The sequence below is a fragment of the Homo sapiens genome, chromosome 11 (assembly GCF_000001405.40).
Source record: "Homo sapiens chromosome 11, GRCh38.p14 Primary Assembly".
In the NCBI taxonomy this organism is placed as follows: domain Eukaryota; kingdom Metazoa; phylum Chordata; class Mammalia; order Primates; family Hominidae; genus Homo; species Homo sapiens.
The window spans coordinates 92,733,843-92,761,774 of NC_000011.10; the positions used below are offsets into that span (position 1 = coordinate 92,733,843).

Genomic DNA, 27,932 nt, shown 5'->3' on the forward strand with positions numbered 1-27,932 from the left:
TTAGGGGTATATAAATACTTCTTGATATTCTTTATTTCCATTTTTGAAAGGTTTTCTAATATTAATTAGGAGCTTTAGTCTGATATTCAATTAACAGAGCAGTGCTTTTAAGTACACTTTCCTTTGCTGCAAAGCATCTGTTTAATATGTGCTACTACCTAATATGCCAGGAAGCTCTGGTTCCCCAATAACTCTGTTATGATAAATTGGCACCTTTGGAAGTTATAGGAAGTTTTCCAGCCTCCAAAGTCCTCTCTGAGTATCTGATGTTTTAATTCAGAGGAGTACATTACTGGTTTAATTGTGGTAAGAATTCTTAATAACCAAACCCTGAGTATGGAGGTCTACCTGCTTCTTCTGGAAAAAGGATTGTCTCTGGAAGGGAGAGAGAAGCAAGCTGTGGTTCAGTTTATGTCACCTGTGTCAGTGCGATACCACATGTTTGAGAACCTAATGTGTATCCAGCACTGGCTTAGACACTAAGGATACAGCAAGTTCTTTTTGTTCCAAGTCCAGCAAACAAGCACAAGATGTGTAGAGAAGGGATTACATAGATGTCTGTTCCAAAGGCTGTTAAGCACTAGAAGAAGCAGAGGCTGACCTTGTCCAGGGCAGTAGGATTTTTTAAAATCGCAGTATAATGGCATGTTAACTGAACGCTAAAGTCTAAGTAACATTTACTCTGGAAGTTAAATGAGATAATGTCGGTTGGTTATCATAATAATAATGCACTAGAAAATAAAGTCAATTAATTTGTTTTAAAAAAGCAATGCTCTTATTTGCTTGGAACACTATAAGTACTCAAAAATGAAGAAAAAGAAAAGTAGACATTTGCCAGGTAGTCAGGGAGAAAAAGGAACAATGTATATATTCCAGAGAGAAGGAACAAGGTGTGTGTAACAAAACCAGACAGACAGGAAGAGTAGGCACAGCGTGTATGTTTGTTGGGAGAGCATACTGAAAATATTGGTAAACAAATTATCATATTTGCTTTACAAAATGATCCCTGAGCCTGCAAAAAGGAGCATGGCTTGTGGATAGAGGAAGATCGGATAAAAGGAGACCAGTCAGGAGGCTATAGACCAGGTCTAGATAAGAATGAATGGGGATCTGAACTAAGGTAGGGGATGGAGAAGAGAGGATAGATTTTAGATAGTTCTAGGTGGTAGAATTAATAGAACTTGGTGGCTAATTAAATGTGATAATAAACAGGCAAAGAGGATTCTAGAACACCTCCCTGCAGGAACTCCCGGTAAAGTTTGAGCATGTCATGTCTGACTTAGGGCATGCATATCTGAAACCACCTGTGCTGAATGACAAGCCTGATTTTTCCAGCACCAATGCTCTTCTTGATTGTTTGCTTGACACTTTGGGAAGTAGCATTAACACTCTCAGGTCACTAGGGGGCTAATCATAGCCATTTTCATGATTGCAATTCTGAATTGGAGTTTTCAGAGAATAATCATGGCAGTTCACATAAGGGTCTTTCCTGGAAGAGGCTCTCACTGTCTTTGGACAATGTCATTTGCATTAAGACCATTCCATGAGGCTAGTGTCATAAAAATCATTACTTATATAGCTTTTGCTCTCAAATCTTTAGTCATTCCAGAGGTCTACTGAATACTAAATTATTTGTTCATTCCAGCTGTAAATGTGTTAAGCTGATGGACACAAACTATTCACAAGTGAATGACTAGAAGGATGGATGGATGAGCATAGATAGATAGATAGATAGATAGATAGATAGATAGATAGATAGAAATTAATGACAGCAGTTAGTGCTCTATTTGCATGAACATGTTAACAATTTTAAAGAAAAATTAATTTACAATGATTTAGTAAAACCATAAACCTGCGTTTAAAACCTATATTGGCTAAACGTAAAACACTGTGTTGGACTATTACATACTAGATTCAGCCTTTAGAAGACATAGGTGGAGGGTTATTTATGTTTGTATATCCAGTGCTTAACCTCTAGTGCTTAACCTAGTATCTGAAAGTAATGGGTTCTCTATATATGTTTGTTGAATAATTAACATGTTATTTCATTTAATTCTAGTAACATCTCTGTGAGGTAGATATTGCTATTCCCATGTAACAAATATGGATATTGAGACATAATTTATATTTGCTCAAGGTTGTACAGCTCAGAAGCAGTGGAAAAACCAGCATTCTTATGGCAAACCTGTCTGATCCAGAAGCAATGTTTTTCTCTTACTCTCTACTGTTGTGAAGATGGCTCTTTGAAGGCACTGTCTGATCCTTCTTGAGCTTCTGCACAGTTCCTAGTTGGGAGCTGAGTTACTCTTTCAGATCATAGAGAAGTCTCATTCTTGGCAACCAAACTGTTGTGCTGACCCAGACATTTTATATCTGGAGCTGCCATTTGAGAGTCGCCAGCAGAGGGTTCAAGTTCAGGTAAGCCACAGCCTACCAGTTTTGGGAAATGATAAGGATAATGACATTCCTGACCCCAGCCTTCCAAGATGCTCACCAAGCCCAAATGTGCACCTGTTCAGAGCAAGCCATAATTCCTCACCTCAGACCACGAACCATGTTCAGGTAATCATGAAGATGATTCCCATTGATTCAGTAGGACCCAATTACACTGCAAAAGAGTGAAATTGAGTAGAAGAATGGCATTTGGGGACAGAATTGTTAAGTAACGAAAAAGAAGTAATGGCAATTGACCCTTGAGGTGTCTGATCAGACCCACACAAGACTGCTAGGAAAATAAATTAGTTGTAAGGGATCTATACCTTCTCTGTGAACCCCAGGCCATTAGCATTGTCCTTTCAATTTCTCCAGAAAGTTCTCAGGCTTCATTTAGCTACTGATACTGTAGAAATTTCATTTTTAGGAAGAAAGTCATAAATATAGCAACACCTATACTCTTTTGAAAAGGAAAGATTCCTAGTATCTGGGCAATAAAGTGAGAATTTGATTCATTTATTTAAAAGATCTCTCAGGTACAAATTCAGTCACTTCTAGGGTGGTCTTTTATTTTTTTCCTTTTATGTCTGTAAAAAGAGATATGATCCTCCCACTCCTGCCCATCTCACTGATGTCTTTAGAAAGCTGGAACCAGAGTCTGATTACAGACATTTGTTGCCATGAAGACACAACGGAACGTGGTTAAGGGAGAAGAAAGAGCCTTAACTATGAATTATTTTCCTGTGATGGCTAATTTTTTTTCTCTTATACCTTTCCAAAAAGGTGGCAAGGTGACATCTATTTAGAATGTATTTAATTGCAACTTTCAGAAGACTGAAACAGTAATATCTCACAGAATCCTCAGTCACAATTCAAAATGTTTGGAAAAGCAGAAGATGAAGTGTACTCTCAGCAGAGGGGAAAGAAATTGAAATTTCAAGTAATCTGCCTAGTCTGCTGATTACACTGTGTGACGGAGGATATACCAGCCCTTGATTTTTGTCTCTGATTTCCATTCATCTGAGGTCCTTTCCTTATGATCAGGGACTCTGTGGGTAGCCATGGTACTTAAAATCTAAGGAATAGCAAAGAGAATTTTCTTCTATTATAAAGTGGTGGTGTCAGATGAAGTAATTGGATCCTAATCCCTATTTACAGCAATTCAAAGACAGATTAAAAACCTCACCCAAAGCATCTTCCTAAACCACAGTCAAATGGTGTGTGTATATATACATCACTGTGTACGTGTGTGTGTGTGTGTCTGTGTGTGTGAGAGAGAGAGAGAGGAATGTTTATTCATAAAGAAACACACAATAAAGTCATGAGGATTATAAAAATTGATGACATAGTCATTAGATAAGAATCAACCTTGTTTAATTTTTACATAGAATTACTAAAAATAAGCAGTCAGAATTTTCCATGTATTTCAGTTAGATTTTTTTTTAATTCAGTGGAATTAATTACTGTAATTTGGGAAGAACGAACTTTGTTTTAGTTCAGAAAATGTATTACTCACATAATGGATCCCAGGAGCCATACAGTGTCAAGAATTGTTCAATTGTGTAACAGTGTTATCAAGAAACCTCATTCCTCCTCCCTGCCATCCTTGGAATCAGGCCTCACAGAATCTGCCCCCTGATTGCTTCAAAAAAGATACCAGAAACAAATACAGCTACCGATTTTTCATTGTTCTCATTGAGACAGGGCATCAGAGTGGTAGGGAGAATTGGGGCAAATAAACTTTCCTATAAACCTTTACTTCTTACATTTCAAAAGGTTGTGTAAAACCTGTGATCTTTTCTTCTATAGCATTTCATGAGAATTAAAGGTCTTAAGGTTAAGCAGGACATTGAGGAATCCTCTAGGAAGCCCTCTGAAATAATACAAATACATCATCACTCCAGATAGATTTTAAACATCCCATTTTATGAGGAAGAATTCCGTAATCACCTTATGAGAAGAGAACTCAATAATATAGATTTTTACTGCAGGGACATTTAATTCCCCAAAAGTAAAGGGCATTTATTTAAAACACCAGGTTCCCCAAGATACTAGAGTAACATTTAAAATGGTACCAAAACATTGATGATCCCACTGGGAATTTTTAGCCTGACTACTTTTGCACACAGCCTACATACAGAGCTTTGTCTCGCTTCCGCATCCCTTTGTGATTTGTAATCATGGCTGTCATCTCCTCCAGATGGGAAGCTCCTGTGGCGCAAGGACCATGTTTTTGTTCATCATCATCTCTCTCCCACAGTGCTTTTACATTGCAGGTCCTCAAGGAGTAATTACTGAACACATAATACATAGTACAGATCAGGAATAGTGAATTCAAAGTACTCTGATATAAACAATACGATTCTTTGATGAAGACATGCTACTTCCCCATTTATGCAACAAATATGTTTAGTTAATTTTTCCTGGAAAAGTATGTACATTTTTTTGTGTTATCCACCTGGATTTCACAACATGCTGAGTCTTGTATGGCTATGCTGTCACCTATAAGCTGAGTGACTCTGGGCAAAGCATTGGATCTTGCTGGATTCTTCATCCATTATCAAGTGGGGTTAATATTTCTTCACCAACTTTCCTAGTCAAGTCGTTGGGAAAATCAAATGTGTTCACAGATATTAAAGTGCTTGGAAGTAGTATGAATGAAGGGGCCTCAATATTATTGTTGCTACTGAAGACTCAGAACATGATGAGTCCCTGTCACACTATAGCTTTCAATAATAAATTACCCTGGCAGCTGACCCACAAACTCAAAAGCACCAAGATAGAGCACTGAGACTTGGGCCAACCTAGGGATCCTAAGTCTGTCTAAGGCAAAGCTACATAAAAGGACAGATGGATCTCACCCTAAGCCTTTCCTGGATTGCAGTGATATGTCTTAGGACTCTGATTATCTGATTTCAAAACCAAAGGGACCAGAACTTGGACAACAGCCATACATCTTTGCCAAGTAGCCTTCAGCTGCTGGTGATGCAATGACCTGATACCTCATGCAATCTTTTTGTTTTTTGTAATTTCTGGAGATTTCCAGGGAAGACTGTGAGCCTGCATGTTATGGTAATGGTCCTATCCACTGAAGCATGCAAACAGATAACTCTTTATGATCAATAGACATTCCTATTGCCTTAAAGCCTATTCAAGTATCATTTTTATTGTAAGCTTTCTGATGGAATTTTTAATGTAGCAAAATTCTAATCAGTTTGGAAGTTTCATAAACTGATTCCTCTTACTGTTATATGACAAGACTTCGCAGAACATTCTCTACATATTTTGGTGAATTATTTCTTCCTAGTTTGGCTGGATATTAGAATCCCTGACATACTCTTTTCACAAAGCCAGAAGGAAAAGAAAGATGCTTATTCACAAAGTTACATGTTTAAGCATAGAATGAGATTTTTCAGGACAGTTGGAGCAAATAACCTTCCGTGAGTGTGCACTGTGGTGTTAAACTCTCTACATGCTTGGCAATCTCTGCTGCCTGTCACATACTCTGAAACATGGTTTGGGAATATTTCTCCCAAAATGCTTTTGCCATAAAATAGAAACAGCTTTGGCTCCCCACTAAATAAAGCTCTTATGAAGAGACATTCATTATTCATTGCTCACTTTTCTCCAGTTCTGTCCACCAGAAATCTCAGGACCTTTCACACATAGGTACTTGTGGGCCTGATCTTCTGAGAACGTTCTGGGAGAAAGTACAACTATCTGGGCAATGTCATGCCCTGCTTCACTAAATGAGCAGTGAGAATATATCCATTAAGCACGAGTATGACTCCGGCCTGAATTAATTTAGCTTCTAGTAGGGAGTTAACTTTGATCATGATAATAACACTCTGAGAGTAATGTCCAAGATTGTAAATCATCATCTGTAAAAACTACTTGTATTCTACTTTCACTCAGCAAAACAACTGAGTACTTATTGGAAGTCTTTCTTTTGAAATGCCTTTTCAATGTTTTTGGCTGGGCAAAAAGACTATTTCTAGAATTTACAGATACACAACTGAGTTACACATTTTTAATTGACTCCAGAGGCAGTGTGACTCTCCTTTATCTTTCATTATTTAACACATTTAATCTGTTTGGCTTTTGACATCCGCAGAAAGTTCACCAGCCACTGTTTTCACATTACTTAGACTTCATGATAGGGGCTGCCTGAGGCGGAATGACTAGAACATTCTTCCTTAGCTGTCTGCCTCCCCTGTTGAAAAGTAAAAGTGAAGAATCATTGGAGTCTTTAAATGGAACTTAAGCAGATGAATGTTAACTGGGAGTGGAGTGGAAGTTTTAGGCTTTAAAAAAAATTCTTTTAGGAGAGTATTATTCATTCTCTTAAATTATTGGATTTCTGAATCCATGTGATTTCATGGTCAAAAGATAATTGCTTTTTCCCCTTATCTCAGGGAAAGAGGATTTTTAAAATCATGTAAGTACTTAAAAAGCATTTCAAATTTTCAAGAATTTATAATGAAAGAGATATTAGAACACTCATGTGATTTTATTTAAACACTCTTTACTACAGTAGTAACATTTCCAGACTTTTCATTTGATTGGTCAGTTTTATATTTTATATTTGTGATTGGTTTCATTTTCTGGATACATTGAGTTATTTCTCTGCCAATATTTTTCATGTCTGAGTTTTTCTGTCTTTGGCAATTTACCTCTTCCATACATTTCCTTTACTTATCCTGCCCTAGGCACCAGGAATAGAAAAATGAAAGACACAACGTCTGCCCTCAGAGAACTCAGAAAGATATATATATATTTTTTTGAGACAGAGTCTCACTCTGTCACCCAGGCTGGAGTGCAGTGGCACATATCATAGCTCACTGCAGCCTGCACTTTTTGTGCTCAAGCAATCCTTCCACCTTAGCCTCCCCAGTAACTGGGACCAAAGGTGCACACCACCACATCCGGTTAATTTTTTAATTTTCGTGGAGACAAAGTCTCACCATGTTCCCCGAGCTGATCTTGAACTCCTGGGTTCAGGCAATCCTCCCACCACCACCTCACAAATTGCTGGTGTTGAACTACCACATAGGCATGAACTACCACACCTGGCCATATACATACTTTTGGAAGAGACAGACAAAGTGGTTATAATACAGGTGCATAAGTGATTTGATGGAAATGAGCATAAATTCTGAAGGAACACAGAAGAGGAACTTCATTTAGACCTGGGACTAAACATGTGTGTCTCACATTCTCCTGGAAAGCAAGAACTGGTGACTATAAATCTATGTATAATAAATGTGCTGAATATACATACATGAAAAATACTTCCTAAATATTAGTTATTAATGACAGTAGTCACCTTGAATTTATCTGTTTGAACCTATTTAAGTCTACGGAGTTGATCTTTATTTAAAATTTACATGTACTCCCTTTCGTCTTGTGGAAGTAATTAAAATACTTTATCCAAGATGAACCATCTTTCTGTTTTAGTAGCTGTATCCTGAGACCCATTTCCCCAGGGACTTGAATTTTATTATGTGTAAAGAAAAAATACTACCTGTTGTGTGTTGAGTACAAGAGTACACAGGGTTTTTAATAGCTCTGTTAATAGGATAATGAATAATGTTTGTTTCCAACCAACAGGATATCTACCTAATTTATTAACAATCAAAGATCCAACTCAAAATTAAAATAGCATGCTATTAGAAGTAGGAAAACAAAACAGAATAATTTCTTCACCAATGCAAGGCCTTGTTCCTGATGCCTCTTATGAAAACCAAAAGGAACTGATATTAGCTCGGCATCCGTTATGTGTCAGGACATGTGCTGGATGCTGCCAGTACAATGGATGATATGGCATTGTCTTATCCCTCAGAGAGCTTACAAGCTAACTGAATGCAGGGGTGTGAAAGAAGACAGATATGCAACAATTAGATATGGAATTGGGGACGTGTTAGCATCTGAACAAAGTCAAGTGAAACATACAAAGGAGTCATTCTATCTGAATGTGGTCTCTGAGAAGGCATCATAAAGGGACAAACAGTACAGCAGGCCTTAGAGGATTTTATAAGAACTACAGGAGTAGGGAGTAAGGGGGATACCATGCAGTGGGAACCCCAATCAAAGCAGCAAGGGCCTTGGAAGTATATTCTCCATGTTGGAAGAACAAATGGACTGTGAATTCCCTGAAGGAAAGAAGCCCATATTGCTTTACCACTGTTTACCTAGTGCTGTGGTTTGGATGTGTCCGCCAAAGTTTATGTGTTGGAAACAATCCCCAATGCAACCATGTCGGAGGTAGAACCTACAAGAGGTGATTAGGTTAGAGGGCTGTGCCTTCGTGGATGGATTGAAGCTCTTATCTCAGGAGTGGGTTCTGGATAAAAAGGATAAGCTATGCCTTCTTCCTCTCTTGCTTTTGTCCTTCCACCTTCCACCATGGAATGATGCAGCAAGAAGATCCTGGCCACATGATGGCACCTTGATGTTGGACTTCCCAGGCTCCAGAACTGTGAGCCAAATAAACTTCTATTGTTTATCCATTTCCCAGTCTCAGATATTCTGTTATAGCAACACAAATCAGACTAAGACACCCAGTGTCTAAAACACTGCACATTGGAGGCACTGTAAATTTATGTTGAATTAAGTGATCTGATTGTGTGATTAAAACTGTAGGTGTAGCGGTGTTAGACACTGGAGGCTAAGAATAGCACAGTGGATAGATGGTGTCAATACTACAGGATCTTGTATGTTAATACTGAAGAGTATGCACTTAATCCAGTAATTAAGCACTTCTTAAAGTATGTTCCTTGAAATATCAGACCTACAGCCCTCAGAATTCTGCCATCAAATATGTTTCGGAAACACTGGTTTAAATGGTTAAGCAGTTTCTTTTGCTTAGACTCCCTTGGTCTTTACTCCAATCATGTACATTGTAAAGCTCCAAGAGGGGTTTATAATATTCTTCAAACTTCTAGGATCCTGGCCCCTCTTTTAAGGGGAGCACCTTGTGGCCTTGGTGTTCTCCATGACACCATTTATGAAATCTGCTGTAAGCAATAAGGAGCCAGTAAAGACCTTTCAGCAGGAGATTGACATGCTTGGAATTTCAGTCTTCTAGAGAATGGCATTGGGTGAGGCAATATTGGAGTCAGGGAGACAAAGTTGAAGAGAGATGCAATGGTTTAGGCAGGAGATAATGAGAGCTTGACACCAAGGGTAGAGAAGGGACCAAGAAATATAACTGACATTTAAGAAGTAGCACTTTAGGGACATTGTTATATTGTATAGCTTGTGCCCTATGCAGGGACACCTGGCCAAATGGGCCCCAGGGCACTGAATCCAGCCCACATTCACTGTTGCCAAGCTGTGCATCCAGGCAGAGGGCCGCATGTGTCCTAAGGAGGACAGCTTGCTATGGTTTGAATATTTGCTTCCTTCAAAACTCATGTTGAAGTTTAATCCCCAATGTGGCAGTATTGGATGACGAGGCCTTGAAGAAATGATTGGATCATGAGGGCTCTGCTATGAATGGATTTATTGGGTTAATAGATTAATGGGTTATCATAACAGGGGAACTGGGGGCTTTGTAAGAGGAAGAGAGACCTGAGCTAGCAAGTTAGTACATACAGCCCCCTTCCTATGTGATGATGCCCTGCACCACCTCACAACTCTCCAGAGTCCCACCAGGAAGAAGGCTCCTACCAGATGCATCCCTCAACCTTGGACTTCTCAGCCTCTATAACTGTAAGAAGCGAGTTTCCTTTCTTTATAAAATGCCCAGGTTCAGGTATTATGTTGTAAGCAATAGAAAGCGACTGAGAGACTGCCAGTATATAATTCACAGCCAGCTATGTCCCTAGTCAATGACTGATGAGATGTTGGGAGGAACAAGGAATTGTCTAAGATGACTCATATTTCTGTTCTAAACTATGATATGGATAAAGATGATTTAATTTCTTATTCTAATTTCTTTTGATTCTTCTAAAACTATACTATCTGAAATCATAATACCTAGAGAAGGAATGATGAATGTGCACCTCTGCTGCTCTGAATGTTCTCTTCCAAGAGTTACAGTTTTATCTTTACCACGCATTAAAGTGTACATACTGTCATTGCAGAGAGATTGTTATCAAGACCTCAAACCAAGGGTTACAAACTCAAATGCCCACAGAACCCATCAAACATAATAAATGGGTGATATATGTAGCAGACCATTTACATATTAAATGTTTTTCATTTACAATAAGAAATATACTCTCTTCATTTGTCTAAACATGCAGTGTTCCCCATTTATATTTTATAACCATTTTTTTATAGGAACATGAGTAGTGAGAAGTACTTTTCTATTCTAAGAAAATCTTCTGCACAACCGTGATGATGAATGATAACTGACATTGCTGTAGTATTAGGGACACAGTAGAGACTGGTGGGCCAGTTTTTTTTAATTTTTAGGAGAATCTGGGAATTTGAATTTTTATATGAAATCTCTCTCATTTTAAATATTGGCAGAAATTTTTACAATACACTGTATGGGCCAAAAAAAAGAAAGCATATTTCTGGGCCACCAGTTCATGATCTCTACCTTAGTCTATTTTATACATACACATAAGCCTAATTTCTGTAAATTGATCTATTTAAAATTCATATATTTAGGTAGGCAAGGTGTTAAATTACCTGCTAAATCGCCCAGAAATCCCTGTTGAATTGCTGAGAGGAGAAAGCAGTGTTTGCTCAGCTAGTAATTAGAGCCGTGTCCTTATTTTTGCATTAAGCCTTTACTGTGGAAAGAAAAGCCAAAAATCTGGTGCTTGGTGGAAGAGTTAGTGCTTAAATCCAAATAACATCATCAGTGGAGCTAAAGCATGAGAATCTGCCAAGACAAAAGTAACTTAAAGCATGAAGTCCAGCACTATGAAATAGAAGGGAAGCTACCAATATATACTTTCTGTTGTAATTTATATCTGGTGGATTCTGTTTCATGGAGAGGGGAATGTGGAATAGTATATCGACTAAGGCCTTGATGTCAGGGGAGTTGTGAACTAGTGCAGAGGGATTTAGATCTGCGGCTAATATGATGTCACATCTTGGTTCATGGCAGAAGTTTCTTAACGGCCCACATGTGAGCACATAGATTGGACTCATCTGTTTGAAAGGGGGAGTGAGCACATGGGTGGTAGTCACCATTGTACTAAAGAAACTTTGAGGAGGTGTTTAGTTCCTGCTGATAGGGAAGATTAGAATCAAGCAAGTTTTATGAATAGAAAATGATGAGCAGATGAGCCTGGAAGGAAATGGAAATGTGATGAGATTAGTAGCTGATGCATACCTCTCTGCAGGGAAAAAAAAAAAAAAAAAGCTTTAAGAGATGTCAGGATGGGAAATACTTTATTTCCTAAAGTGCAAAGAAAAGATTTGGACAAAGCTGTAATATCAGCAGCTGCTGCCAAAGTGAATTGGTCAAGGATCTTTCTGAAAAAGCTGCCATTTAGCAGTTGTTGGGTTTAAACACAGGGAAGAAAAGATACCTTCATTGTCCTGAAATGCAAGGTCCATGCATGCATGCATTCAACCAACAAATATTTGTTGAGAACCAACTATGTGTAGTCCTGTGGTAGGCCCTGGAGTGGCTCACACACCTGTAGGAATCAGTGCCCTGCAGAAGACAGATCATGGGTACCTGGAAAGGGTGGATTATGAGCTGACTTTCTCCTGGTGCTTCCCAATAATGCAATGTCTTTGGACAAAGAGAAAGCTCACCAAAATGAGTAACGTGATTCACTGGCCCCAAGGCCTAGGTTCCCTTGGTTCCATGGATCAGAGCATTTTCAGTTTGAGCATTTTCAAATTGTATTCTTTCCTAAAAGCACAACTTTTTAGGCAAAATGTAAGTTATTAAAGGCAGTTCAGAGAAAACTCTGTATTAGTCTGTTCTCATGCTGCTAATAAAGGCGTAACTGAAGCTCAGTAATTTATAAAGGAAAGAGGTTTAATTAAGTCAAGTTCCACATGGCTGGGGAGAGGTCTCACAATCATGGTGGAAGGCAAATGAGGAGCAAAGCCATGTCTTACATGGCAGCAGGCTAGAGGCTTGTGCAGGGGAACTCTCATTTATAAAACCATCAGATCCCATGAAACTTATTCACTACTGGGAGAACAATATATGAGAAACCGCGCCCATGATTCATTTATCGCCACCTGGTCCCACCGTTGATATGTGGGGATTATTACAATTCAAGGTGAGATTTGGGTGGGGATATGGCCAAATCATATCATTCCACTTCTGGGCCCTCCCAAATCTCATGTCCTCACATTTCAAAACCAGTCATGCATTTCTGAAAGTCCCCCAAAGTCTTAATTCATTTCAGAATTAACTCAAAAGTCCACAGTCCAAAGTCTCATCTGAGACAAGGCAAGTCCCTTCACCTATGAGCCTGTAAAATCAAAAGCAAGTTAGCTACTTCCCAGATACAATGGGGGTACAGGTATTAGGTAAATATACCCATTCCAAATGGGAGAAATTGGCCAAAACATAGGGGCTACAGGCCCCATGCAAGTCCAAAATCCAATAGGGTAGTCATTAAATCTTAAAGTTCCAAAATGATCTTCTTTGACTCCATGTCCCACATCCAGGTCATGCTGATACAAGAGGTGGGCTCCCATGGCCTTGAGTAGCTCCACTCCTGTGGCTTTGCAGGGTACAGCCTCCCTCCTGACTGCTTTCATGGACTGACATTGTGTCTGCAGCTTTTCCAGGTGCACAGTGCAAGCTGTTGGTGGATCTACCATTCTGGGGTTTGGAGGACAGTGGCCCTCTTCTCACAGTTCCACTAGGCAGTGCCCCAGTGGGTAGTCTGTGTGGGGGCTCCAACCCCACATTTTCCTTCTGAACTGCCCTAGCAGAGGTTCTCCATGAGAGCCCTGCCCCTGCAGCAAACTTCTGCCTGGACATCCAGGCATTTCCATACATCCTCTGAAATCTAGGCAGAAGATTCCAAACCTCAGTTCTTGACTTCTGTGCACCCACAGGCCCAACACCACATATAAGCTGCCAAAGCTTAAGGCTTGCACCCTCTGAAGCAATGGCCTGAGCTGTATGTTGGCCCCTTTTAGCCATGGCTGGCACTGAAGCGGTTGGGATGCAGGGCACCATGTCCTGAGGCTGCACAGAGCAGGGGGACCCTGGGCCCAGCCCACAAAACCATTTTTTCCTCCTAGGCCTCCAGGAAGCCTGTGATGGAAGGGGCTGCCTTGAAGGCCTCTGACATGCCCTTAGAGGCGTTTTCCCATTGTCTTGGTGATTAACATTTGGGTCCTCATTACTTGTGCAAATTTCTGCAGCTGGCTTGAATTTCTTCCCAAAAACTGGGTTTTTCTTTTCTATCGCATTGTTAGGCTGCAAAATTTCCAAACATTTATGCTCTGCTTCCTCTGGAATGTTTTGCTGCTTAGAAATTTCTTCTTCCAGATGCCCTAAATCACCTCTTTCAAGTTTAAAGTTCCACAGACATCTAGGGCAGGGACAAAATGCCACCAGTCTCTTTGCATAGCAAGAGTGACTTCTACTCCAGTTTCCAAAAAGTCCCTCATCTCCATCTGAGACAACCTCAGCCTGGACTTTATTGTCCATATCGCCATCAGCATTTTGGTCAAACCCATTCAGCAAGTCTTTAGGAAGTTCCAAACTTTCCCACATTGTTCTCTCTTCTTCTGAGCCCTCCAAACTGTTCCAACCTTTGCCTGTTACTGAGTTCCAAAGTCACTTCCACATTTTTTGGTATCCTTACAGCAGCATCCCACTACCTGGCATCAATTTATTGTATTAGTCTGTTTTCATGCTGCTAATGAAGACATACTCAAGGCTGGGTAATTTATAAAGGAAAGAGGTTTAATTGACTCACAGTTCCATATGGCTGGGGCAGTCTCACAATCATGGTGGAAGGTGAATGAGGAGTAAATCCGTGTCTTCCATGGCAGCAGGCTAGAGGCTTGTGCAGGGGAACTTCCATTTATAAAACCATCAGATCCCATAAGACTTACTCACTACCAGGAGAACAGTATGGGGAAAACCACCCCCATGATTCAGTTACCTCCACCTGGCCCCACCCTTGACATGTGGGGATTATTACAATTCAAGGTGAGATTTGGGTGGGGATAAAGCCAAACCATATGACTCTTTAATTCTGTTTTTCTCTTTTTCTTTCTTCCTTAATTCTCTTCCTTTCTCCTTTCTTCTCCTTCCTTCCTTTCTTTCCTTTGAACCCTCATTCTTTCTTTTCCTTATTTCTGATATTATTTCTGATGAAAACTTTCCCTTATAAACCATTCCACAAGTTTATTCAACATAGTAAGTATACATCTCCTGAAATAATTGATTTACTGAGATTGGAAATAGCAGAGACATGTGTTGAAGCATCACAGAATGAGGAAAGCAGAGTGGGGAGTGACTGGAACACCTATCCATCTCTGGTTTATTTCTTAATACCAAATCATAGGTCAAATAAGAGAAACCACATGTAATGACATTAAGGGCAGACAGTTTAATACTGCCTTCTTTTGCTTTTTCTCCGTGGGTGATAGCGCAAGTTAAGTTTAGTTCAATGACTTCACCTTTCAGAAAGTTTATCTTCAAGAGTTGCTGTTCCTTTGAGATCTACCCTTTAATTTACTGTTTGTGTATACTTTTCTTTCCAGAAATGGCAGGAAGCACTTGTCTTCCCAGGAATGCAGTAGTCTGAGACCATAGACAAAAAGGTCTGAATTCCAGCCTCAACCTTTATAACAGCTCCTGAGTATTCTTTGAGAAGGTCATTTCTCTATTTCTCCACCTGTAAAGAGGAGATAAAGTTTCTTTCAACCTTTTTACTATCTTGAAAGGTTTAAGTATTTAAGGTTTGTGAAACATTTTGAAGATAAAAAGTGGAGCGTAAACATTACATCTACTTTAAATGCAGTTCTTCTCTTTTTTATTATTTTTAAGAGCTCAGCATTCTGGAAAACACCTAAATTAAAACTTCTGCAATATCGAGTTAACACACATACACAAATAGGCACACACACACACAGATACACACACACACATACACACACACATAGATGACAATTTATGAATGCAAGCCTTGTTTGAGGCTCAAAAGCCAGCTTGGAACTAATCTCTTAGAAAGATTGAGGTTATTTCTAATAAGATGATATTAGGCTAAGAAGTACATCTGTCTGGACCTCAGTTTCCTCATCTGTAAAACAAATGGATTGAACGAGAATGATACCTAAGCTCTCATTTACTCTTGAGTTCTCTTAACATCTAGTGACTCTATGCTTTCCTGAGTATAACAGAAGTAAGGAAAGGCAGTTTCCCTTTATCCTGGGGTTCTTTGGGACATATGAGACTATGACGGAGGTAGGAAAATACTCAACGATGGGTACCTTCGTACATTTCTCTACCTATGTGGTGACCAGTAAGTAGAGACAGCCAAGCACACATAACTGGTGATTTACAGGGTCTTGTCAATAAATAGTGAAAATAGATAAGCATCTTTACTACAATTAATTTTCAACAGCCACAACATTAAATTCCTACCCATAGAGACTGTGCTCCTAGGGTCCAGTGACCTCTCTAGGCATATTGTTTTAAATCAATCAGATCCAAGAGAAGGGTAACATATTATTAGTAATTTATCACAGGGCGTCCTAACATTTTACCCATTAGGATACATACAGAAAATGATAATATTTGTATAATATCTTTAGGTAAAGGGAAAAGCTAATCCCAGCCAGAGATGACCAGCCTATGTAGATGAGTTCACATTCGTTCACCTGAGAGCTGAGAGGGTCAATGTGGCAGCACATTGGAAGCCTTCTTGCTGCGTGTGGTTGGATATTCTGCCTTAGTTTAAAAGACTTCATCTTTAGATTTCTTCCCAGCCCAGAACCTGTCAGCTTGGCCCTGAGACTTTTGATAATGAGAGGGGGAGGGAGAAATAAAACTCTTTTGAGCTCTGTCTTCTACCTTAGAAGAGTATCAAGTGCTAAAATAGCTCGCAGCAATCAGGAGAATCAGAGTGAAGGAAGGTGCAGAGTACTATGGAAGAAGTCGGGGGATGGTCAGGATAGGGGGAAGGTATGCAGTGTTGACTGACAAAATTACAACAAATTTAGTTTAAAGATTTTAGTTGGCTTTTATTTGTGATTCTAGAATCTGGCAACATATTATTCCATAAAATAGAATGAATGTTCTGATGAGCTGAGCAGAGGAGCTTGGCTTTATAGACAGAAAATGGCTGAGGAAAGCAGAAACAACAGAAAGCAGATCAGTCATTTCGAAGTTACAAAGGTTAAAGCAAAGGGACTTTCTTATTGTTACAGTTAAACCTGACCTGTCTGGGGATTTGGCTGTTCTCTCTCTCTCTCTCTCTCTCTCTCCTGATTTCTCTGAAGGTCAGATAAACAACTTAATACTGGCTTGGTAGCATGGAACGTTAGCATGCGTGACTCCATTTTGGTTTGGTTTGGTTTGTTGATCCTGGTGCAGGCATTCAGTTCAAGCCAATGGCCTCTTATACATTTTATTTACTAAAGGCAACCCCAGTATGAATGTAAAAATACGTGCTATTTGGGTTGTTTCACCTAGAACAAGAAGTACGCCTAGACAGTGGCAGATTGATTGGTAGTGACAGCTGTCTGGAAAGCTCCATCTCGGAAGAGTCTGAGACCACGTTCCACCTTTGGAATGAACAGTGAATTGTTCACGTTTCCTGTGGCCTCCAGGTGCAGCTGGCAGGATAGAGCAGCCAAAGCCCACATGCTGTATAATTGCCATCCCTGCACAGGACATGCTGAAACTGTGGTGCTGAGGCCAGGGAAAGGACATGTTTGAACTGTGTTCAGAGGAAAGAAAAGGTGGCCATGCCCATGGGGTGGGGCAAGCATTTAGATGAAAGGCAGCATAATGTGATGGTTAGGAGCACAGACCCCAAAGCAGATTGGATCCTACTATGCTTCACCCTTCTGTGCCCTGTTTCTAATCTGTCGTGTGGGGATAATAATCGCATCTTACTCCAAGACTGATAAAAGGATCCATGAGTTAATATTTGTTAAGCATTTGGAAGAGTGCCTACATGTGGTTAACACGGAGTGCCTGATAAATAAGACGTAGAGAGAAACCAAGACCACCCAGGCCCTCCCTCTCGTCTCCATGATCAGGGAGAATAATTTTTGTGCAAAGAAAGGTAGAACAAATTTTGTGAGAGGGAGCTGATGATGTAACCATGTAACAAGATAGTAAGAGAGGATCTAATTGCACAAAATAAGGTTCTCAAGTCTTGAGTGCTGAAAGAAGTTGCAGCCATACCCCACAACCCAGTGGCAGTTTTTAAGCATTGAGGACAGAAAGGTGCCAAAAGACTGGAGCCAGTCAAAGATGGTCCCTATTATCAAAGGAGGAAAAGGAGGCTTGATTCTAGAAGCACATCGAAGTGCTCAATGTTGATCCAAAGGCACACGTGGGAAGGGAATTTTGAACAGATGGTTAACAGATGCTTCTACATGGGCTGCGCAGGGTAGGGAAAAGAGCACGTGCTGCCACGCCAAACAGACTTGGGCGCAAACCCGTGTTCTGTCACTTTCCGGCTGAATGGCCTTGAGAATATTCTTAACGTCTAAGCCTCACCGTCTCCAGCTGCAGAATAGAAATGGCAATGCCTACAGGATTCCTGTGAAAAAGTGACAATCGTAGGTAAATGATCAAGCAGAGGACTGAGCAAAGCAGGCGTGCAATAAGTGCTATCAGTATAACCAAAGAGGCAGCAGCACATAATGTTTTAGACCAGGAGTCAGCAAACTTATTCTGTTAAGGGCACTTAACAGACTTTGTGGGCCATACAGTCTCAGCCTCAACTACTCAACCATGCCTTTGTAGCAGGAAAGCAGCCATAGATAATATGTTATTGCAGCATGGCTGCATTCCAATAAAACTTTATTTACCAAAACAAGCAAACAGATTTTGCCCTTGGGCTATAGTTTGCTGATCCCTGGCTTAGAACCAAAACTGCCAGGTTTAAAACAAGGCTCTGCCACTTGAGAATAGTGTGACCTTTGACTATACAAGGCTCTGCCACTTAAGAATAGTGTGACCTTTAACCAGTTCATAATTCAGTTTCCTTATTGGTTAAATTGGTGTAAAAACAGTATCTATCTTGTGAGATTGTTGTAACAAAGGAGATCGTGCAGGGCTCTGCATCTCACAGTGAGTACTTGATGCATAGCAAGCTTTTAATGCATGTTACCTGTTATCATTATGATTATCCCAACAGCCTAGGGTAGGGAGCCAAAGTTTCTAGTAACATGAAATTTAGTAGAGACAAATATAAAATCTTGCACTTATACCTGCAAAAGGAAACCACACACTTACAGGTGTGATTATATTATATATTGCTTTTTCTAGGAAAAGACCTAAATGCTTTAATTCATTGATATCACAGTGCTGTGTGACATGGCTGCTACCCAAAATAAGCATAGTCATCGACTGAAGAAATAGGTGTGAGATTGTCTCTAGGATAACAGAGGGGCTTTGCACAGTTCTGAGTAAGTTTAATATGCGATCGCTCTATCCTGGCCATCGTATTTTAAGAAGGAAGCTGGTATATGGGAAAACATCTTGAAAGATGTAAACAATATAATAAATAAGGACTCATTATATATAATAAATCATCTGAGAGATAATTATACAAATTAGTTTTTCAACCTGGGTTGAGATTTCTCAAATATATTTAAGTATTTTTATAAGGATGGCAGTTTTAAAACATAGCCTCCCAAATTATTTGACCCTCCTCCCATCTAGAGGTGGGGTTTATGTCCCCACCTCCTAAATCTGGACTCTGAGACTCTTGGTCAGTAGAATGTGGTACAAGTGATGCTGTGCCAGTTTTTGAGCCAAGGCCTTAAGAAACTGATGGCTGCCACTTTCCTTCAGGCCAGTTGCTCTTAGAACCCAGCTGAGGTCCCAGCTAATAGCCATCATCAACCAGCAGATATGTCAGATGACTACAACCCCAGCTACCTATGACATCAATTGCATGAGAGGCTCCAAATAAGAACCGCCCCCATTCAACCCCCAGAACCATGAAAAACAATAAAAAGATTCCAGTTATTTTAAGTCACATAATTTTCTGTTACACAACAATAGGTTGCTGGGGCAACGTGGAAGAGGAATTTGACTTTTTCTGTATAGCTACAACAAGTAAAACTAGTCTATAGGAAGCTCCAAGCACTCTAGGATAGTAAGTACAGGCAGTTAGATTTCGGTTTAATGTTAAGAAAAGCTTTGTGTAAAGTGTTGGGAGGATATGGAAAAAAGGAATCCCTTGTACACTGTTTTCCCAGTGTAAATTAGGACAGCCATAATGGAAAATAGTATGGAGGTTCCTCAAAAACTAAAAATGGAACTACCATATGAACCAGCAATCCAACCTCTGGGTCTACATGCAAAGGAAATAAAATCAGTATATTGAAAAGAAGTCTTGGATAAAGAAACTGTGGTGTGTGTGTGTGTGTGTGTGTGTGTATATATATATGGTGGAATACTACTCAGCCATGAAAATGAATGCATTTGCAGCAACCTGGATGAGATTGAAGACTATTATTCTAAGTAAAGTAACTCAGGAATGGAAAACCAAACATTGTATATTCTCACTGATATGTGGGAGCTAAGCTATGAAGATGCAAAGGCATACAATGTATTTGGAGGACTTGGGGGAAGGTGGAGGAGGGATAAAATACTACAAATATGGTGCAATGTATACTGCTCAGGTGAGGGGTGCACCAACATCCCACAAGTCACCACTAAAGAACTTAATCATGTAGCCAAATACCACCTGTACCCCAATAACATATGGAAATATAATACTAAAAAATATATTTAAAAAATAAAGACAATATTTTCCTATATAAAAACAAGAAAAGAAGTATGCATTTCCATGCTCATTGCAGCACTATTCACAACACTTGAGATATGGAAACAACGTAACTGTCCATCAACAGATGCATGAAGACTATGTTTGTATATATACACAATGGAATACTATTCAGCCTTTAAAAAGAAGGAAATCGGCCGGGCGCGATGGCTCACGCCTGTAATACCAGCAGTTTGGGAGGCCGAGGCGGGCGGATCACGAGGTCAGGAGATCGAGACCATCCTGGCTAACACAGTGAAACCCCGTCTGTACTAAAAATACAAAAAAAAATTAGCCAGGCATGGTGGCGGGTGCCTGTAGTCCCAGCTACTCGGGAGGCTGAGGCAGGAGAATGGCGTGAACCTGGGAGGTGGAGTTTGCAGTGAGCCAAGATAGCACCATTGCACTCCAGCCTGGGCGACAGAGGAAGACTCTGCCTCAAAAAAAAAAAAAAAAAAGGAGATAGAGACCATCCTGGCCAACATGGTGAAAACCCGTCTCTACTAAAAATACAAAAAAAAAAAAAAAAAATTAGCTGGGCGTGGTGGTGTGCACTTGTAATCCCAGCTACTCCGGAAGCTGAGGCAGGAGAATCATTTGAATCTGAGAGGGGGAGGTTGCAGTGAGTGGAGATTGCGCCACCGCATTCCAGCCTGGCAACAGAGCGAGACTTGATCTAAAAAATAATAATAATAATAAAGAAGGAAATCCTGTCATTTGTGACAACATGGAAACGTGGATATACTTGAAGAACATTATGTTAACTCAAATAGAAAGATAAATGCCACATGATCTCACAAATATGTGGAATGTAAAAAAGTCAAATTTATAAGAGCAGAGAATAGAATAGTGGTTACTAGAGGTGATAGAGGAGACAGGAGGGATTGGTAATGGGGAGATGTTGATCAAAGGATACGAAATTTCAGTTAGGCAGGAGGCAAGTTGAAGAGGTCTGTTTTACATCATGGTGATTATACTAATGGTAATAACAATATATTGTATACTTTAAAATTGCTAAGAGAGTAGTTTTTGTTTGTTTGTTTGTTTGTTTTTGAGGTAGAATCTCACTCTGTTGCCCAGGCTGGAGTGCAGTGGTGTGATCTTGGCTCACTGCAACCACTGCCTCCTGGGTTCAAGTGATTCTTCTGCCTCAGCCTCCCGAGTATCTGGGATTACAGGCACGCACCACCATGCCCAGCTAATTTTTTGTATTTTTAGTAGAGACAGGGTCTCACCATGTTGGCCAGCCTGGTATCGAACTCCTGACCTCTGGTGATCCACCTGCCTTCACCTCCCAAAGTGCTGGGATTACAGGCATGAACCACTACACCCTGCCAGAGAGTAGATTTTAAGTCTTCTCACCACAAAAAAAGTTACATGAGGTAATATATACGTTAATTAACCTGTTTTAGCCATTCCGAGGTGTATACATATATCAAAACGTCATGTTGTATATCATAAGTATTTGCAATTTTTATTTGTCAACTAAAAAAATTAGGTAGAGCTTTCTGAAAATTGAATCTATCAAACCACAAATGGGCTGCTAAACAGGGCACTGAGTTCCTCTTACCAAATATACCAAAATTGAGGCCATGTGATTGCAGGTCCCAGATATTACAGAGGATTTAGGTCATGGGGGATTGTGAATTTGGTCAGAATCTGTGTTCGTCGGTTGGTTATTTGGTTGATCTCCCAGTTTGCCTAAAAAAGAGTTTGTTACCTAAAAGGTACTGGATAAATATTTCATTTATTCATTCAACAAATATTTATGGAATTCTTACTACATTCTAGGCACTGTTGTAGATGCTAGGAATATGTCTGAACAAAATAGATGAAAATTCATTCTCTGTGGAGCTCAGGTTCTAGTAAAAGCAGATATGTGATAACCACGTAAGTGAAATATATAACATATTAGGTAACGATAAAGTGTCAAGGACCAATAAAGTAGTTGCCCCTTTTCCATAGGGGATATGTTCCAAGATCCCCAGTGGATGCCTGAAACTCTGCAGATAATACCAAACCCTATATATGCTATCGTTTTTCTTGTACATACATACCTATGACAAAGCTTAATTTATAAATTAGGCACAGTAAGAGTTCAATGACAATGATGATGTAGAAGAGTTATAACAATATACTGTCATAAAAGTTATGTGATTGATCTCTGTCTCACAAAATAGCTTATTGTGCTGAACCACAGGTAACTGAAGTTGTGGAAAGTAAATCCAAAGATAGGAGCAGACCACTGTATAAAACAGGGGAGGGGGATATGTAATATCTGAAGAATGATTTTCCATTATAAATACAATAGCCTGGAAATAATCATTTGTGGTGAATTAATGGATAAGGAAAATGCCAGAGTTTAACTCTTCGGCTTAAAAATATTGAATATATTCTTAGACACTCTTGTAATCACTGGGAACAAGGCAGTAGACAAGATCCAAGATCTCCGCTTTTAGGCAGTTTATATACTTATCTTCTACTTGGGGAAAGGAGACAACAAAAATAAATTCATCAGGCAATTTCAGTGAGTGAGAAGTGTGCCCTCCCACCAGCTTCCATAACTTCAAAATTCTCAGTGTCTGACCATTTTTGGTCCTACGAAGCTCTTGTTTCTTCCAGGAATAGACTTAAAGACATGTTTCTTGTTGTAATTGTCCTGTTTTGTAATTGTCCTGCCTCCTGGCTCTGCCTGGCATTCACAGACCAATGAACTATTTGTGGCTCCATTTTTTTTTTTTTTTTTTTTTTTTTTAGACAGAGGTTTGCTCTTGTTGCCCAGGCTGGAGTGCAGTGGCGCGATCTCAGCTCACTGCAACCTCCGCCTCCCGGGTTCAAGCAATTCTCCTGCCTCAGCCTCCTGAGTAGCTGGAATTACAAGCATGTGCCACCATGCCCAGCTAATTTTGCACTTTTAGTAGAGACAGGGTTTCTCCATGTTGGTCAGGCTGGTCTCGAACTCCCGACCTCAGGTGATCCGCCCACCTCGGCCTCCCAAAGTGCCAGGATTACAGGCATGAGCCACTGCACCCGGCCTATTTGTGGCTCCTTTTATTAGGTGATAGCTGTTATCATCTAAAGAAATTAATCTTTCAGGCTTTGGATTAATTGCCAGCACCACTGATTATTGATTGGCAATAAGAGCAGAAAATCTAGGTGAGGATGGTTCTCTGTTCTTTTGTGAGGCTGTAGCAGAGCGAGAGTACACACGGGTCACTTCTAAACAATGGTGCGTTTCTTGCATCCTTAATAAGAAATGATGCAGAAGAGGAGATGATGGGGATTTATCTCAGCTAGTTTTGCTTTGATCTTCACTGCTGCTACTCCTTTCATATGGGCTAATTCGAAGGGAGGTTTCAGGCCTAACGTATTATGAAGTCTGAAGTCTGAGAATCTGATGGAATGATTGATGATGCCATTGATGATTCCATTAATCATTGTTGATTAATATTCCAGGCACAAATGTGGCAGGGCAGATGAATGGGTCCAGAGAAATAATAATGAAAATTCAGACTTTGAGGTTAGCAGTGTAGTTCAGTTCAGCAAACATTTATCCAGAGGACACTAGGTTTCAGAAAAGGATGAAAAAGACAAGGTTCCTGCTTTTGAGTAGCTCACAGTGCACTGAAGGAGACAGACATGGGAATAAATCATTTCAGGAGACTGGATGAATGTCCACAAAAGTGAGCACAGTTTGAGGAGTGGCTAAAAATCATTCTGCATTATCTTCATAATCTTTAGATTGGTAGTGTTCTCAGTTATGTAAACTGGGTATGAACCTCAGAGTGCATGGTTAAAACTGTCCACCTCTAGCTGACCCCCCATGAGTAGAATCATAACACTAGAAGCACTTGGGAGATTATATGTTAATTTTCATACAGAGACCCTCAGTGTCTGAATGTTCTTTTCACTTATTATCATAGGGAAGAGTTGTAGGTAAGTGAATTCTTGATTTCATAGAATATTTGTCACTTAGAGCTGTACCAGGTGCCAGAACATAACAATGAATAAGAGACAGTTCTCTTGACCTCAAATTGCTCACAGTCTAGAAGGATTGAATGGAGATCAACAAGCAAATAGACACTTAAAATGCAGGATGATAATTAGTGTCCTAGAACTATACACATAGTGGCATAGAAACATACTAAGGGCACCTACATAGGTCTGCAGGAGGCAGGGAATGGCTTTACAGGAATGTTTGGATTGAGGCTTCTAGAATGAGTCAGGTATATTCCCAGGAGAGGGCATTCCATGAAGACAAATGGCTGTGCAAAGGAATGGAGCTATAAGAGCATGGCATGCTCAGGACCTCCCAAGCTCACCATGTAACTGAGCATAGAGATGAGAAAGAGGCAGACAGTACAGGCTGATCAACAAAGCCAGATGCAGAGAGAATCCAGCCAGATCTTTGTCCTCAAGGAGCCCCTGAAGAGTATTACGCAAATCAGCGACATGATCAGATTTTTGAAGAAGAAATATCACTCTACAACAAAGGCAAAGGCTGAAGGCAGGGAGGCCAGGAGGCTACTGTGGCCATCCAAGCAAGATGCAAGGGGGGTCTGTAATAGGGCAGTGTGACAGAAGAGTTGGCATGGGGTGAGGGGTGTGTGTGAGATACCTGTTGGTCCCCAAGTTCAATTGGATATAGATAGTTAGACAGAGGGATGCCTAGGATTCTAGTGTGCACCAGTGTGTGAGTAGATAGGGGTGCCATTTATTAAGACAATGGACATAGGAAAAGGAGGAGGTTTGAGGGTATTGATTTCAGTTTGTGACTTTTGGGGTGCTAGGATCCAGAAAGTAGATTACTAGTAAATAGTTGATCATGTTGGTTTGGTGATCAGGAAATAGGCTTAGGCACAAGAGATACACATTGGAGAATTAGCAGCATGTAGGTAGTAGATGAAACCATGGGTAAGGAGATGGAGGAGTAATTGGCAAAAAGGCAGGAAAAGCAGATTGGAGCTATGTTGTTAAGGCCCTTGAACCATCTCAGAAGGTTTTGCAAGGTGAGACTGATTTGGCTAAAGAGACTGTTCAAGTAGGACCTGCATTAGAGCCTCATTTATTAAATAAGCATGAATGGAGCGTGTTCTGTGGCTTGACACAGGGGTGAGAGCAGTGAGAAAACAAGCACAGTCTGTCTTTGCCCTTATGCAGTTTATCCACTTAAGTGGAGAATCATGTATTTAATTAATTTCCACAATGGTAAGTGCTACAAAAGAAAAGCATAGGGTGATTTAACAGTACAGAATGAGGGGGCGGGAAAGCTGGCACTTGGTCTGTGGGGTCAGAGAAGGTAGCCTTAAGGAAGTGACATTTCAGCTGGACTTAAAGGGTGAGTAGGCAAGCTCCACAGAAAGGATAGGGACAGCTCTCCAAAGAAAAGAGGACCTGAAGGATGCCCTTATGGCCTGAGGGAGCTGGGTGCTTGCAGTAACATGATGACGAGTGACCCGCTATGCGTAGCACTCCTGAGAGATTCTTCAAGGGCTGTGCAGCTACCACACTTCCCGCCTGTAGGTAGACACCTCAAGGATTTGGGTTTGTAAATCCAGGTCCGTTTCAAAGAAAAACATTTTATAGCAGCAGCATCCTCTAGTGAGCAGCGAACTGTTGCCAAGAGGGGCTCCTTTCCCTGGCAGCCACCTGTCCCTGAAGCAGCTCCAGAACACTGTCTCAGAGCCCATTGCAGGGCATTAATTGACAAGGAGGTGATTTTGTGCACGATGAAGACATTGAGAGTTGTCTGAATTTGGACAGGCTTCTCAAGCAGAAAAGAGAGGCAGAGTAGTTGAGCAGCCAAGAAATCAATATGTTTGGTCAACACAGGTCACCTGGGAGTGTAACATTTGCGTTCACCAGCAGCAGCAGAATGTGCCTCTTCAGAACTGGCATGTCAAGGAATTAGCTCAAGAGTCAAAATCCAACCTTGGCACATTTTGGTCCCAATGTGGTTCTTTTGTGAAACACAACAAAGCAATTGGGAAAATAACCTTGGAAGGAAACTTGATTGATTTTTCAAAGAAAGCGAGAACTTGTGTGAAAATTTATCTTAAGTCTATTAAAGCTATCCTCCTAGGCAGCTTGTAAGAGAAACTAAACTAGATTGCAATTCCATTTTGCAAAAAGGCTTTAATGTGTTTTCCCACATTTTTGGCCTTTGTTTCAGTTATACCTGTCAGGTTGTTTTATTAGGTGAAAAAATAGCTGACCAGCTGCTTTGATTCACTGTTGTTTTTCTCCTATTGATGTTGAGCGCATCTTTATGTTCCTTCCAGCCTCCAAGTACATATATGGAAGTAATAATCTGTTTCATTCAAGCTAATGATTTAAAGATTAAATATGGGTTCTTCCTTTTTTTGTTAAACAGAACATTAACAATTTCCAAAAGTTTAATACCTAGCTTTACCACTTATTAACAATGATCTGTTTTGAGCCTCTGTTTTCTCAATTGTGAAATGGGAATAAATAAACCTGCTTCACTTACTGAAGAGGATATTTTGGAAAGTGAATGAGATAATGCATGAAAGAGTGCGTTATAAACTGTGCCACACTATCGACATGTTAGGTGTTAATATCATACTGATTATCACTATGACTAATAAGAAAATTATTTACACTAGGATGCAAAGTCTATATATTCTGTGAAAATTATGTATGTGCTCTTCATTACTCTTTTCTATCTCAATTTTCACAGGCACACATGAGAACAGCATCATAGTGACATGGAGAGAGGTGTACATCCCCCTCCCATTTTCCAGAGAGAAATAGAAAAATATTTTGCAATTGTTAAAGACATTGTAATGTACTTAAAATCAGACATCAAACAGTGGAACATATATCATAGTTTTCCTTTTGTTCAATGACAATGTAAAAATCAAATCTTAACATGGAGATGTGTCTTAGTCTGCTCTGGTTGCTGTAATAAAATACCATAGGCTGGATGGCTTAAATAACAGAAATTTATTGTTCACAATTCTGGAAGCTGGGAAGTCTAAAATCAAGGCACTAGCAGATTCAGTGTCTAGTGATAGCTTGTTCCTCCTAGATGGTGCCTTCTGGTCATGTCCTCATATGGTGGAAGGGAAAAGCAAGCCTTCACAGCCTCTTTCGAAGGGCACTAATCCCATTCATGAGGGTTTGATCCTCATGATCTAATCACCACCTAAAGGCCCCACCTCCTAATACTATTGCATTGGAAATTAGGTTTTAACATATGAATTTTGAAGGGTTACATTCAGACTATAGCATGAAGACTGGAAAGTCCAAGGTCAACATTCCAGCAGGGCTCATTTTGTGGTGTGGGCTCTCTTCCTGGCTTGCAGACAGCTACCTTCTTTTGTGTGTTCACATGGCAGAGAGAGATTGGGATCTCTAGTGTTTCTTTGTCTTTTATAGGGACATGAGTTCTGTCAGATCAGGACTCAATCCTTATGATCTCATTTAACCTTAATAACCACATATGGGCAGTTAGAGCATCAATATATGAATTTTAAGGGGGACACAATTCAATCTATAGAAAGATGAAAAAAGAGAAGAAAATGAATACTAAAAGAATTTGGATAGGATAGCATTGTCCGTGCA

At 40.1% G+C, this 27,932-nt stretch overlaps 1 protein-coding gene across 11 annotated transcripts in view; it reads left to right on the forward strand.

Moving 5' to 3' along the window:
* FAT3 (FAT atypical cadherin 3) overlaps positions 1-27,932 on the forward strand; it is a 671,656-nt gene that overhangs the window by 509,025 nt on the left and 134,699 nt on the right. The gene's annotated exons all lie outside the window — the stretch shown is intronic.